Source organism: Homo sapiens, chromosome 16, assembly GCF_000001405.40.
Source record: "Homo sapiens chromosome 16, GRCh38.p14 Primary Assembly".
Classification (NCBI taxonomy): Eukaryota; Metazoa; Chordata; class Mammalia; order Primates; family Hominidae; genus Homo; species Homo sapiens.
The window spans coordinates 8,778,664-8,793,128 of NC_000016.10; the positions used below are offsets into that span (position 1 = coordinate 8,778,664).

The 14,465-nt window shown below is 47.9% G+C and overlaps 1 protein-coding gene across 24 annotated transcripts in view, besides 1 other annotated feature; it reads left to right on the plus strand.

Moving 5' to 3' along the window:
* ABAT (4-aminobutyrate aminotransferase) overlaps positions 1-5,907 on the plus strand; it is a 109,954-nt gene extending 104,047 nt beyond the window's left edge. For 22 of the 24 annotated variants that reach the window (XM_047433688.1, NM_001386602.1, NM_001386615.1 and 19 more), the window contains 2 exons: positions 816-927; positions 2,646-5,907. In XM_047433688.1, coding sequence (XP_047289644.1) covers positions 816-927; positions 2,646-2,767 — 234 coding nt within the window. In that variant the 3' untranslated portion in view covers positions 2,768-5,907. Of the gene's footprint in view, positions 1-815; positions 928-2,586 lie in introns of all 24 variants that reach the window. The other 2 variants (NM_001386616.1, NM_001386609.1) reach the window with 2 other exon arrangements.
* Positions 13,317-13,496: a silencer, noted in NCBI's record as "silent region_7177". NCBI's record gives its function as "represses an Ori minimal core promoter by ATAC-STARR-seq in GM12878 lymphoblastoid cells {active_cell/tissue: GM12878}" and the evidence as "EXISTENCE:reporter gene assay evidence [ECO:0000049][PMID:35858748]".

A 14,465-nucleotide genomic window follows, 5' to 3' on the forward strand; every position in this document is an offset into this window, starting at 1 on the left:
GGTATTTAGGAGGCTGAAGCACAAGAATCTTTGAACCTGGGAGGCAGAGGATGCAGTGAGCCGAGATAGTGCCACTGCACTCCAGCCAGGGCAACAGAGTGAGACTCCATCTCAAAAAAAAAAAACAAAAAACAAAAAACAGTCATTGCATTAGGGGCCATTCTAATGCAGGAAGACTTCATTTTAACCTAACTAATTATTTCTGCGAAGACCTTATTTCCAAATTAGGTCCTAGTCATAGGTTCCAGGTAAACATGAATTTAGGGGGCAGTGGGAGGAAACTATTCAATCCAGTACAGCTCCCAGTCTCAAAGCCCTGAGGGAGGACAGGCATTTCTTCTTCCAGAAGAACCACCTTTCTAGAAGAGCTGACGATGGAGATGGCTAACATCTGTGGAGCATCCACCAAGTGCCCAGCCCCAGGCTTAGGACTTAACATGTGAACCTTATCGTGCTAAAGTCTCACCACGGCCCCAGTGGGGTCAACAGCATTTAAATCCTTCAGTTTATAGCAGGGTAAACAGAGGCACTTGAGTGGCCCAAGGTTATACAGTGAGAGGGACAGAGCTGGGCTTGGTTGTTGTTGCTGGTGGTGGTGGTGGTGGTTTTTTTCCTCCACACAACACACATGTGCACAGCTGGGCTTTGAACCCAGGCCTGAATGTCCCCAGAGCTCTTAACCCCCTGGAGGTCCTGCCAGTCCATGCAGAGGCCGAGGCTGGACCATGGGAGGCCTTTGACGAAGCACAGCCATTAAGCCCAGCTGGTACACAGGTGATGGGCTTTGACGCCAGCCTTGTCTCCTCCCACTACAGGCCCGGTACCCCCAGTTCATCAGCAGGGTGAGAGGACGAGGCACCTTTTGCTCCTTCGATACTCCCGATGATTCCATACGGAATAAGCTCATTTTAATTGCCAGAAACAAAGGTAAGGGGTCAGGAGTGGCTGCTGAGTTTCATGAGCATCCAGTATCTCCTGCTGTAGCTGCCACATGTTGCTAGGTACTCAGCAATATTTTGTGTGGGGGGCAGGTGGTACACAGGTCTGAAAAGAGCCTGAATGCTCTTTCTCCAAAGAAGAGAACATTACAAATGGGATTTCTTTATCCATTTATTTACTCAACAAGCGTTCGCTGAGGAGGTGAGTTGTAAGTGGACACTGGAGACAGTTACAGTGATGATGAAGACCATCAGAGCCCCTTCCTTCAGGAAGCATGCAGTGTAGCAGGAAGGCATGGCTTTACACATGGCATTTCACAACCAATCCATTGCAATTTTAAGTCCTGGGAAGGAGAAAACGCAGCTAAGAGAGCAGATAGCTGCAGCAGTTGGTGAGGGTAGGAAATCAGGGCAGGCTCCCTTGAGGAAGTAGCATTTTACCCTAAGTCTTGACAAACAGGGATTGGCTGGGTGAAGAAGGTAAGGAAGAGCATTCTGGGCGGAGGGAAGGGTGCATGCGATGGCCTGAGGTGGGATGGAGCTTACAGAGGTGGTAAAAGGGAAAGAAGGGGGCGTGAAGGCGAACGGTTGGGAGGGGATGAAGCTGGGGGAGGAGAGGCCAGGCCCGGGTCGCATGGGCCTGCAGATCAGGCTTAGCACTCCAGACTTCATCCTAGGAGCTGTGGGAAGCCACTGAGGACATGTGTGGCAGGGGTAAGGGCAGACGCTGTGGTGAGATCAGAGCACGTACTCTATGTCAGGCACATTGTCAGTTCTTCTTGTGCCATCTTACAGAATCCTTGCAGCAGCCTCAGAAGGGCAGGGATAATCAACCTCCATTTTAAAAATGAGAAAACGTGGTCTCAAAGGCATAAACAGGCCGGGTGCAGTAGCTCACGCCTGTAATCCCAGCACTTTGGGAGGCCGACGTGGGCAGATCAGCTGAAGTCAGGAGTTCGAGACCAGCCTGGCCAACGGGGCAAAACCTCATCTCTACTGAAAATACAAAAATTAGCTGGCCGTGGTGGCGGCACCTGTGATCCCAGCTACTTGGGAGACTGAGGCAGGAGAATGGCTTGAACCTGGGAGGTGGAGGTTGCAGTGAGTGAGACTGGGTTGCCACTGCACCCCAGCCTGGGTGACAGCGCGAGACTCCATCTCTAAAAAAAAAAAAAAAAAAGGCATAAACAACCTCGACAAGGAAAGGACACCAGCTGTAACTGTGAAGTCACCCTTTAAAATAAGCAGAGCCTGTCCCTCCTCCGTAATAGCTCAGCACCTCACACATGCTTCCGACTCAGCCTGTGCTTTTGCAACTTATTTGCTTACCTATTTTCTTTTCCCACTCCTCCATGACTTTGTGGAAGGCAAGGACTTTATCTCAGGATTTCTCTATCACCAGACCTAGCTTGGGGCAGCAAAGCAGGCACTCAAAGGAGAGAGGGAGGGAGGAAGGGAAAAAGGAAGTGTGGAGGGAAGGAAAGGAAGAAGAGAATGATGGAGGAGATGAATGAGGGGAGAGAGAAAGGAAATGAAGACTGGATGGGTGGGTGGTAGGAAGGAAGCCCGGGCTTCCATGATGGAGGATGATGGATGGATGGATGGATGGATGGATGAGCGTTGCCAACAGGCATCACTTTCCCCCCAGCTCTCCCAGCATGTGACTTTGAGAAACCACGCTCCTCACCTACCTCCTGCCTCTTTCAGGTGTGGTGTTGGGTGGCTGTGGTGACAAATCCATTCGTTTCCGTCCCACGCTGGTCTTCAGGGATCACCACGCTCACCTGTTCCTCAATATTTTCAGTGACATCTTAGCAGACTTCAAGTAAAGAAGCCATTTCCACTACAGTGAGAAAGCCCGGATCCCAACAGTTGTCAAATTGATTAGTTTGCCTAATTCATGTTTTCACTTAAAAGTATCAGAGGTGAATGCACAGTGAAGGGTGATTTGTGGGGAGGGAGCATTTTTGGTGGTCTTGGGGGAGGGGAGGGGAGGGAAGGGCTGGTGTTGATTTTCCTCCCTGCAGAGCCAATGGTGCACATTGGTTTAAGCCCAGAGATCCTGCTTGAGCCCTGGACTCATCTTGGGAAGGGCCATGGGAGGTCCTGGCTAGAGTTCTGCCCAACCTTGACCAACCCCAGCAATTTTTCCAAAAGCCAGTCAAGGGCATTACATTTGTTCCTGGGACTGGCAGCTGGGCCTCCTGGGTGCCAGTCCATCTCAAGTGCCATATTCTGTGATCACGGATGTTGGCTCCCCCTCGCCCTATGCAAGCAAACACACTCTCACCTCCTCTCCCAGCCTCCCGGAGCTCTGAGCACGCCCCACGCATGGTGCAGGAGGGACTGGACAGATCTGAGGAAGGCCGTAAAATGGGGACAGGAGGATTCAGCTCAGGAGTAAGGGAAGAGGTCCTCTGGCCCCCTGAAGATGAGAATCACCCCTCTCAGTGCACCTGGGGATCCCCCTAAACTGTGAATTCTGCCCTGGACAGGGCTTTGCCCTTGGAGGATCCCCAGGTGGCCTTACCCGTGATTCTTACTCGGCATCCTCCATTCCCCAAACTCCCTCCTCCCTGTTAAATGTCAACCTAGACCTGGACCTGGGTGGGAGGAAACTGTAGCCTGAGTGTCCACAGGGACACACGTGAGCCACAGGGCTAGAAGCACAGGCCCGTCACCCCAGGAGGAAAAGCCCAGGGTCTGGGGCAGCAGAGCCATCGCATCATGTTTCCCAGGGCAACTTGAGGTCTGACTTTTGGCTCCCTCGCCCTAAGAGGCTCTTCCTCTCTTTTGCTCATCCACCTTCACACCACTTGTGAGCTGACCCCCAGGAACAGCTTGGCTGTTCCACCAGAGCAGAGGGAATCATTGCTGGACTGGATTTCTTCTGGAGGGAAGCACCATGAATTAAAGGTGCCAGAGCTCCATGCATGGAAAAGTGGCCTGTTGGTTCAACGTGGTTTCCTTGTACTTGATCCTCCTGAAATGAGAGATTTTCCTGAGATGACTGAGTATGGAGATTACCAGGCAGATGATACCGAAATGCTTAAAGGGGCTGTGGCTGAGGCTGTAGCATCTCTGCTGGAGGTGAGACACTCTGGGAACTGATTTGACCTCGAATGCTCCTAAAAGAGAACTTGATAGCCTGACAGCAGAGAAGTATTATTTGGTGGGGAGTCTGAGAAAGCCTGGCTTGTATTATCTGTCCAAAAGGAAGCCTCTTCATCTCCCGGTGCCTTGGTTGACTATTTTGGAAATAGGCATATCAAGGTTCCTGATTCAGCACTTTGCTCTTTTAATAACAAATCGTCCAAAGATCTCAAAGTAAGGGTTTTTTTTTTTAGCTTCCACTCTTCCGCAGACTTGGTCATCGACCTATTTTTGTTGAAGAATGAAAGGCAATGACAAGTTTAACATATACAAATTCGTGAATTCTTGTTCATTTTGCATTCCTGCAGTCAGTGCTAATCCGTCGTTCTTAATCAGGAGTTCTGCCAGGTTTAAGGTCACCTGCACTCCCAGCCAAGTGGTGATGTATGCCTCCCACTCTCTGCAAGGTTTTCCTCATTTTTATATTCATTTATTCATCATTCATTCATTCACCTAACTTTCATTAAATAGCTGCACCATCCCAGGCCCTGTGCGGAGCATCGGGAATACAAAGATGAGATAAAACATTGTCCCTGCCCCCGGGGGCTCACATGCCACTGGAAACAACAGACTCTTAAACTAACAATTCAAGCAGGCGCCAAGTGCTATGACAGAGGTGTGAATAAAAGCATCAGGAAATCGGATGGAGAACCACCATTCACCCAAGGGTCAGAGGAGGTTTCAAAGAAAAGGTGTCATTGGAGCAGTGTTTTGCAGAATGAGCCAGAGTTCACCAAGCAGGCAAGGCAAGGAAGGGTGTTGCAGAGAGGGAACAGCATATGCAAAGGCGTATCAGTTCATGGCATCACATCTTTCACTGGGGAAGCCAGTTTCCACAGGCAGCATCCCAAGGTTCAATAAGGCCTTATTTAACAAGCAAGCAAAATGCAAACCAAACCATTATTCATTTATTGGCTTAAGTATGCTTTCTCCTGAAAACTTTAGCATTGGGTGCAAATATTCAGTATGGTTCTCGGAGTCCAAAGGGTTTTAAGCCAGGGCACAACCAGAAAAGTGGCTCTCTTTGGTAGGGAGAGGGGCTCCAATATTTCGTTCTCTCCCCATGGGGCACTGACAGAGAAATGAAATAGTTTTATCTGGAAAATTCCAGAGCTATTATTTACTCCTTACCAAGGGAAGTTACTTCTTGTAAAAACTTTTAAGCCATTTATCAACAAGTTCTTGTTGACTCAGGGCATAATGAGTTCCTGAGACATGCTCTTTTGGGGGCTGGGGCTTTAGCTAGAAGAATTTCAAGGAAAAGAATTCTCAGCAGAGCTCAAGATTGTAGAAACTCAGCAGAAGCTGGTAAAAACATGGGGAGCCCGGAGGACAGGCTGCTGTCCAGGGCAGAGGCCATGAAGAAGTGCTTCCGTGGCCGACAGTCTGGAAATGAATCCATCATACATTAGTGCCATAGAGTTTAGTAACCGTCCAGCAAGTGTCATCACTTTTACAGAAAACAAGGTCCAGTAATAGCAAGTCTTAGTACATCCTCACTTTTATTATAAATGGGTGTTTTTTCATAATTTTTACTGACGCTCAGTAACCATGCAAAATTGTGTATAGCATTAATGTATCTACATACCTACACCTATCTATATATAAGCTCATGGTAGAAAACCATAGCTAAGTAGCATCGCAGACTTAAGCGTACAAAGTGATCTTGTTCACAAGTAATCTGTTGACAGTGCCAATAAATGATAAAAAAAAAATTAACATGTCACAATGTAACGGATGACCATATGCACAATTCCATGAATTAAATCTGTTTCCTGTGTTAGTCAGTATTCTTAAATAAAATTTATAATTGAAACATGAGTGAATGTGGACTTTTTTGGTGGAAATGGTCTTGTTAAATAATTAGGTGACAAGTACTTATTAAATGCCTGTTATATACCTCTTAGGGATGTCTTGGGGAACACTCTACATGCATAACTCTGCCTTGGGATCAGGAAGCACTGTAAGGCCATGCATTTCATTAAGTAAATCGAGGACATGCTATGTGACAGGGACACAAGGATGGACAACATGTGGTCCGTACTCGCAGCTCACATTCTTTTTTTTTTTTTTTTTGAGACAAGAGTCTAGTTCTTTCACCCAGGCTGGAGTGCAGTGACATGATCTCGGCTCACTGTGACCTCTGCCTCCCAGGTTCAAGCTGCCTCAGCCTCCCGAGTAGCTGGGATTACAGGCGCTCGCCACCGCGCCCAGCTAATTTTTGTATTTTTAGTAGAGACGAGGTTTCACTGTCTTGGCCAGGCTGGTCTCGAACTCCTGACCCTGTGATCCGCCCACCTCAGCCTCCCAAAGTGCTGGGATTACAGGCGTGAGCCACCACGCCCGGCCCCCCTTTTTTTTTTTTTTGGATGGAGTTTTGCTCGTTGCCCAGGCTGGAGTGAAATGGCACGATCTCGGCTCACTGCAACCTCCGCCTCCCAGGTTCAAGCAATTCTCTTGCCTCAGCCTCCCAAGTAGCTGGGATTACAGGCACCTGCCACCAGGCCCAGCTAATTTTTTGTATTTTTAGTAAATACAGGTTTCACCATGCTGGTCAGGCTGGTCTCGAACTCCTGACCTCAGGTGATCCGCCCACCTCAACCTCCCAAAGTGCTGGGATTACAGACGTGAGCCACTGCGCCTGGCCTCGCAGCTCACATTCTAGCAAGGTAAAGAAAAATAAAAAATAAAAATAAAAAAATAACCAAAAAAAAAAAAAACAGTGTAAGGAGCAGGACGTGGGAAAACACTGGATGCAGCAGAGGCACAAAGGCTGGGCCCCTCACATCAGTCAGGGTGGCAGTTAAGCCCCTGAGTTTCATCTTCAAGGCTGAGCAAAAGCTGCTCCAGAGTGATGGAAGGCATTCCACAAGAGAAGAGGTCCACGAAGGCACAGAGACAGGGCGACAGCAGGCGTCTATGAAAAGTTCAGTATCACTAGATCACAAAGAGTAGGAGACTAGAAGAGCCCAGAAAACAGGCAGGAGCTGGGCCCCTCGAGAGCCTTCTGTGCCACATGAGGGGCGTGGGCTTTCCATGCTGGTGATGGAGCCGCCAGAGGCTTGATGCAAGGGAGCAAACCGAGGGGTGTTTTAGAAAGATTGTCCTGGCTGGACGTGGTGGCTCACACCTATAATCCTAGCACTTTAGGAGGCTGAGCCAGGAGAATCACTTGAAGCTGGGAGGCGGAGGTTAAGATGAGCCAAGATCACGCCACTGTACTCCAGCCTGGGCGACAGAGTGAGACCCCGTTTCAAAAAATATATATAGAAAGGTTGTCCTGAGTGTTCACGGTGAAGAACAGGGAGGCAGGGAGGCCAGTTAGGAGTCTATTGCAGCCACGCTCACCTGGTGGCCTGAATGAATTAGGAAAATAATGGGGACGGAGAGAGAGAAAAGTAGAGAATCCAAAGCATCCGGGACGGTGATTCTCAACGCTGGACGCGCTTAGGAATCACCCGAAAGAGCTTTTTGAAAAGTGCCACTGGCCAGGCACAGTGGATCCCACCTGTAATCCCAGCACTTCAGCAGGCCGAAGTGGGCAGATCACCCAGCTAATTTTTTTGTATTTTTAGTAGAGATGCGGTTTCGCCATGTTGGCCAGGCTGGTCTCGAACTCCTAACCTCAGGTGATCCTCCCACCTTGGCCTCCCAAAGTGCTGGGATTACAGGCGGGAGCCACCGTGCCTGGCCATCAAAGGGTTACTGACCTTGAAGTTCCGGTGCCTTCAACTCACCTACCTTAGGAATGTGCATGTCGGAGCTCACACTCAACGCCGACCAGGTCAAGTTGACCTTCCAAGGCTGATGGCCAGGCTGGCCGAGAGAAAGTTCCTTGAGCGATTGACAGTTCCTACCCTCAGCTAGTCCTGAGTTGACTGCACACAAGTGCACATACACTCACATCTGTCCACATGCTAATATTACAGCATCCTTCCACATCAGTGTGTATCAAATCCTAACTTTCAAGTTGTGTGATTGGGAGCAGATTCCCTTAACCTCTCCAAGCTTCAATTTCCTCATCTTAAAAACAGGCATACAAGACTGGGTGTGGTAGCTCATGCCTGTAATCCCAGCACTTCAGGAGGCCAAAGCGGGTGAATTCGCCTGAGCTCAGGAGTTTGAGACCAGCTTGGGCAACACAGCAAGACCCTGTCTCTACTAAGAATAAAATTTTAAAATTTTTATTGGCATGGTGGCATGTGCCTATAATTCCAGCTACTTGGGAGGCTGGGGTGGGAGGATTGCCTGAGCCCAAGAGATTGAGGCTGCAGTGAACTATGATTGCACCACTGCACTCCAGCCTGGGCGACAGAGTGAGACCTTGTCTCGAAACAAAAAAAAGTATACAAATAGTAAGTCTTCACTTAATGTCACAGATAGGTTCTTGGAAATGGATGGCAGGTCCTCGAAAACATCATTTCATTCAAAGTTGTCTTGTTATAACATTGTTTCTTTCAACATCTTACTATTATGATGAGGAAAAAATATTGGTTTCATTGTATGTCGTTTAACTTATAATCAGTTTCCCAAAACTTACTGATGACATTAAATGAGGATTTACTGTACCTACCTCACCCGTCTGTTGTAAAAATTATAAAGCACTGGCCGGGCATAGTGGCTCACTCCCATAATCCCAGCACTTGGGGAGGCCGAGGCGGGCAGATCACTTGAGCCAGGAGTTTGAGACCAGCCTGACCAACATGGTGAAACCCCGTCTCTACTAAAAACATATAAATTAGCCAGGTGTGGTGGCACATGCCTGTAGTCTCAGCTACTTGGGAGGCTGAGGCACGAGAATCGCTTGAACTCAGGAGGCGGAGGTTGCAGTGAGCCAAGATCGTGCCACTGCACTCCAGCCTGGGTGACAGAGCGAGACTCCGTCTCAAAAAACAAAACAAAACCAAAAAAAAATTGTTAAAGAGTCACAGTTTTCTTTTCTTTTTTTTTTTTTTTTTGAGACAAGAGTCTCACTCTGTCGCCCAGGCTGGCGTGCAGTGGTGCAATCTTGGCTCGCAGCAACCTCCACCTCCCAAGTTCAAGTGATTGTCCTGCCTCAGTCTCCCCAGTGACTGGGATTACAGGCATGCACCACCAACCCCAGCTAATTTTTTGTCATTTCTAGTAGAGACGGGATTTCGCCATGTTGGACAGGCCGGTCTCGGACTCCTGAGCTCAGGTGATCCGCCTGCCTCGGCCTCCCAAAGTGCTGGGATTACAGGCATGAACCACTGTGCCGGCCTGTTTTCTATATTCTGTCCTTCCCCTGGGGAGGCAGTGGAATGACCCAGCTCTACTGTTTTCTAGACGGGTGATCGTGGGCAAGTCACTTCAGTTCTCTGAACCTTATTCTGCCAAAAAAGGATGATTATAGTATTGCTAGCTAACATTTATTGAGTGCTTGCCTGGACTGAGCACTATTTTAAGTGCTTTTCATGTAGTAAGTCATGTAATCCTCCCCACAATCCTGGGTAGGTGGTGTTATTATCTTCACTTCACAGAGGAAGAAACCGAGGCAGAGAAAGAGGTTATACAGCTGGGAATTGGCAGGGCTGGAATTCAAGCAGGCAAGAAGTTTGGCTTCAGAAGCCATATGCTTCACCCGAACACTCTACCACCTCTCTGGGGTTCTCCAACTCAAAGTGTTGCTGGCAGATTAAATGAAATCCTATAATAATTGCCCAGCACACAGTAGGCATTTAATACATGCTGGTGTCCTTTACTGCTTCTTCTCCATGAATAGCTGAGTGTGTCTCATATATAGTTCTAAAAGGCAATATTATATTTCTGTGAGAGTTAACTTCCCACTGGTAAATATTAAATCTACTTCACACCATAGGTGCAAGCCCAGCTGAATCTGAGAGTGTATTTCAACTGTTAATCAGTAAAATGAATGTTTGTGTCCTTAGAGTTGGTATGAACATGGCCATACCTAGACGGTACTGGCCTTGCCTGATGGGACTCTAATCAGGCAAGATTTTACAATTGAATGGCGCAGGATCAAAACAAGGCCATTAAAAGTTGGACTCTGCCCGGAGTTCAAAGGGACCCTGTTGCTTTCTATTTAGGAACTCACGAGTCTTGCAGTCATAAAGCAGCAACATAAAGCAAGCTCCCAACTCTAGTTCTCCAGGCAATTCATCCAGGCTGTCCCCTGCAAGCTGCTCAGCCCACCAGATCTGCTTTGGGGAGCGCATTAAACATGGTTATGCAATGATTGGGTGGCGGATGCCATAGACATCTGGCCCTATGACAAGGTAAGTCTCATTTTTGGTAACCAGCATAGGAAGGAGGACAACAGCTACCACTGGGCTGTGCTTCCCACGTGCACACTGGGAGCATCGTCACCAGGTCCCCAGTTGATGCAGACCTCATGTGTGGATGGTGGCCATATGAAAACTGACATGTGGCTGGGCACAGCAGCTCACGCCTGTAATCCCCACCCTTTGGGAGGCCAAGGTGGGCCGATCACTTGAGGCCAGGAGTTTGAAACCATCCTGGCCAACGTGGTGAAACCCTGTCCCTACTAAAAATACAAAAATTGGCTGAGCGTGGTGGCGTGCGCCTGTAACCCCAGCTACTCAGGAGGCTGAGGCAGAGAATCACTTGAACCCAGGAGGCAGAGGTTGCAGTGAGCTGAGATTGCACCACTGCACTGTAGACTGGGTGACAGAGCGAGGATCCATCTTAAAACAAACAAACAAACAAACAAACAAACAAACAGAAAAACAGGCCAGACCCAGTGGCTCACGCCTGTAATCCCAGAACTTTGGGAGGCTGAGGCAGGTGGATCATGAGGTCAGGAGTTCAAGACCAGCCTGGACAACATGGTGAAACCCCGTCTCTACTAAAAATACAAAAATTAGCCGGCGTGGTGGTGGGTGCCTGTAACCCCAGCTCCTTGGGAGGCTAAGGCAGGAGAATGGCTTGATCCCCGGGAGGCAGAGGTTGCAGTGAGCCGAGATCACACCTGTGCACTTCAGCCTGGGCGACAGAGCAAGACTCTGTCTCGAAAAACAAAAAAATAAAACGGACATGCTCCAGACCACCCTAGGCATCTAAATTATTTACATGGCCACAGCATGGCAGGGAGACGGGGGCAAAATCCAGACAAGAAGGAAAGCCACTTGACAAGGGACAAACATGGTTAAATCACAGCTGCTTTAACTGAGTTTTCAAAGACTGCATGTTTCCTTCCATCTACTCAGCTTCTGAGTCCAGAATTGGAATTCATGGTTGAGAAACTTTCCTTTGCCTAGAAAGCTGGTGGGAGGAGAAGGGAATGGAAGAACAGACTGTTTATTACAGCGTTTTTCTTCATTTGCTAGGATGAATGATGTGCTCATTATACCCCTCTCACCCTCAATCCTCTCCCGGGGGTAGCCACTCTTCACAATTTGCAATGTATGTATGTATGTATGTATTTGAGATGGAGTCTCACACTGTAGCCCAGGCTGGAGTGAGATGTTGCGATCTCCGCTCACTGCAATCTCTGCCTCCTGGGTTCAAGCAATTCTCCTGCCTCAGCCTCCTGAGTAGCTGAGATTACAGGCGTCTGACACCACCCCCAGCTAATTTTTGTATTTTGAGTAGAGATGGGGTTTCACCATGTTGACCAGGCTGGTCTCGAACTCCTGACCTCAAGTCATCCACCTGCCTCAGCATCCCAAAGTGCTGGGATTACAGCCACTGCACCTGGCCAACATGTACTTTTTAAAAACACAAATAAGATCACACAGAACTACACTGTTCTGTGACTTGCTTTTTTTTTTTCACTACCTACCTCGTGGTCTTTTCCACAGATACAGTACAATCTCACTCTTTTTAAAGGTTGCATGTATACTACAATATTAATCTACCAACATTTACTTAACCATGTGGCCTACTAATGGAAACTTAGATTATTCCCAGTTTTTACTTTTCTTATTTATTTATTGAGACAGGGTCTCACTCTGTCACCCAGGCTAGAGTGCAGTGGCACAGTGATGGCTCACTGCAGCCTTGAACTTCCGGGCTCAAACAATTCTCCTGCCTCAGCCTCCCAAGTAGCTAGGACTACAGGCATGTGCCACCATATCCAGCTAATGTTTTATTTTTTCTTTTGTAGAGATGGGGTTTCACTATGTTGACCGGGCTGGTTTCGAACTCCTGGTCTCAAGCGATCCTTCCACCTCAGCTTCCCAAAGTGCTGGGATTACTGGCATGAGCCATCATGCCCGGACTAGTTTTTTTGCTATTGGAAATATTTCAGTCAACATCCTTATATGTACACTTCAGTATTTCTGTTAGATTATTGCTATATTCTGAATGTTTATGTCACCCCCAAATTCATATGTTGAAACCTAATTTCCAATGTGATGATATCTGGAGATGGGAACTTTGGAAGTGGATTAGGTCATGAGGGTGGATCCCTCATGAATGGGATTAGTGCCCTATAAAAAATTTCAGAGAGCTCCCTCACCTCTTTTGCCATGGGAGACCACAGCAGGAATAAGCCTGTCTACCAACCAGGAAACAGGCCCTCCTAGACAATGAACCCGCTGACGCATTAATCTTGGATTTCCCAGCCTCCAGAACTGTAAAAATTAATGTTGCTTGAGCCATCCAGCCTACGGTATTTTTGTTACAGCAGCCCAAGTGAACTAAGACAATCATGTTATAATTGTTGTTAAAGGGGGCAACTGCCAATATATCTACCACCCAAATCTAAAGACAACTCCCATTTTCTGAGAAGCTGCTTTGCCATCTATTGTATGGCTTTGGGTGATTCTCAAAACTTGTAGTACTGTGGAATAACCTGGGAAGCATAAACAAACAGATGCCCAGGTTCTACCAGATTCAACAAGGGTTGGGCACACTTAATGTTTTTTTTGTTTTTTGAGACAGGATCCCGCTCTGTCACCCAGGCTGCAGTGCAGTGGCGCAGTCTCAGCTCACTGCAACCTCTGCCCCTCAGGCTCAAGTGATCTTCTCACCTCAGCCTCCCCAGTAGCTGGGAGTACAGGCATGTACCCTACACCCAGCTAATTTTTCACATTTTTAGTAGAGATGGGGTTTCACCATGTTGCCCAGGCTGGTCTTGAACTTCTGGTCTCAAGCGATCTGCCCACCTTGGCCTCCCAAAGAGTTGGGATTACAGGTGTGAGCCACTGCACCAGTCCTTTTATTGCTTCTGTTGTTGACTTTGGTTTTTTGGGGGCAGCTCTCAGGTACTACCCTACTGGTGCATGACAGAAGCCCTAACACATTTCCTGTTATCTGGTGGACATCTGTGATTTTAGCTTAGGGATACAGCGTTAGAATAATGCATTTGCTCTGTGTGCCCTCTGCTGGTACTGCATGAGCAGACCACACATGGAATGCCTGCATGGGTGAGAATCTGGTCTCACCTCCCAGGGCAAGCCCCTTGCAGACTTAACAGAGTGGTGATTCTCCAAAGGCAGCGATGGTCAACCATGTTAGAATCACCCAGGGAACCGTGAAAATAAAAATGCCTGGTCATGGGCTTCGACAATGGGGTTTTTAAAACACTCTCCAGGAGATTCTACACATAAAGCCAGTGTTAAGAACCTATTCTTTGGGCAGAAAATTGGCCCAGGAACACAAAGTCCACAGAACCATGTGTCACTCTGGTGTCTTCTGTTCTAGTAATGTATTTCAGAAATTCCCAGCCTGCCTGAATCTCAGAATTGGCTTCAAGCTGGTCAAAAAAACAGATCCTGGAAATCCACCCCAGACATAATCAGAATATCCTGGGGTGAGGCTCACTCAGGTCATTACTTACAACCCAACAGAGAGAATTTTTGGTTTTAATGAGGTTAAGGTCAAATCATTATGACTTCTTAAGACATTTTTTAGCCACAGGCTTTATCTCTTCATGGGGAAGGGAGTCACAGTCACTGAAGGAACTGACAGGCAGGTGAAGGCAAGGTACAGAAGGAATGAACAGCCACGTGTAACTGCTATGCACATGTCTCTTCTATATAATTGAATCTTCACTACACTTCTTGAGCATAAATAGTAAAACCCTGTTATACCGAGAGGATACTGAAGGGGAGGCGGTTAGTTCTCTTTGCAGGCATCTAGGGAGAAAGCCTTCCAGGCAGAGGGAACTGTCAATGCAAAGGCCTTAAGGCTGGAATATTCTCGATTACTGGAGAACAGCAAGGCAGTCGTGACCTGGGGGAATGATCTCCACAGAGGTGCGGATGAGGGAGGGAAGGGGAGGGTGGATTAGGCCATCAGCCTTCACAGCAGTGACGTGATTCTGTTTTTAAGCATCACTTTGACAGCTGCAAAAACGGACTCAAGTAAAGCAAGGATGGAAGCACAGGACAGAAGCATCGAAGTGAAGGGCCAGGCGTGGTGGCTCAT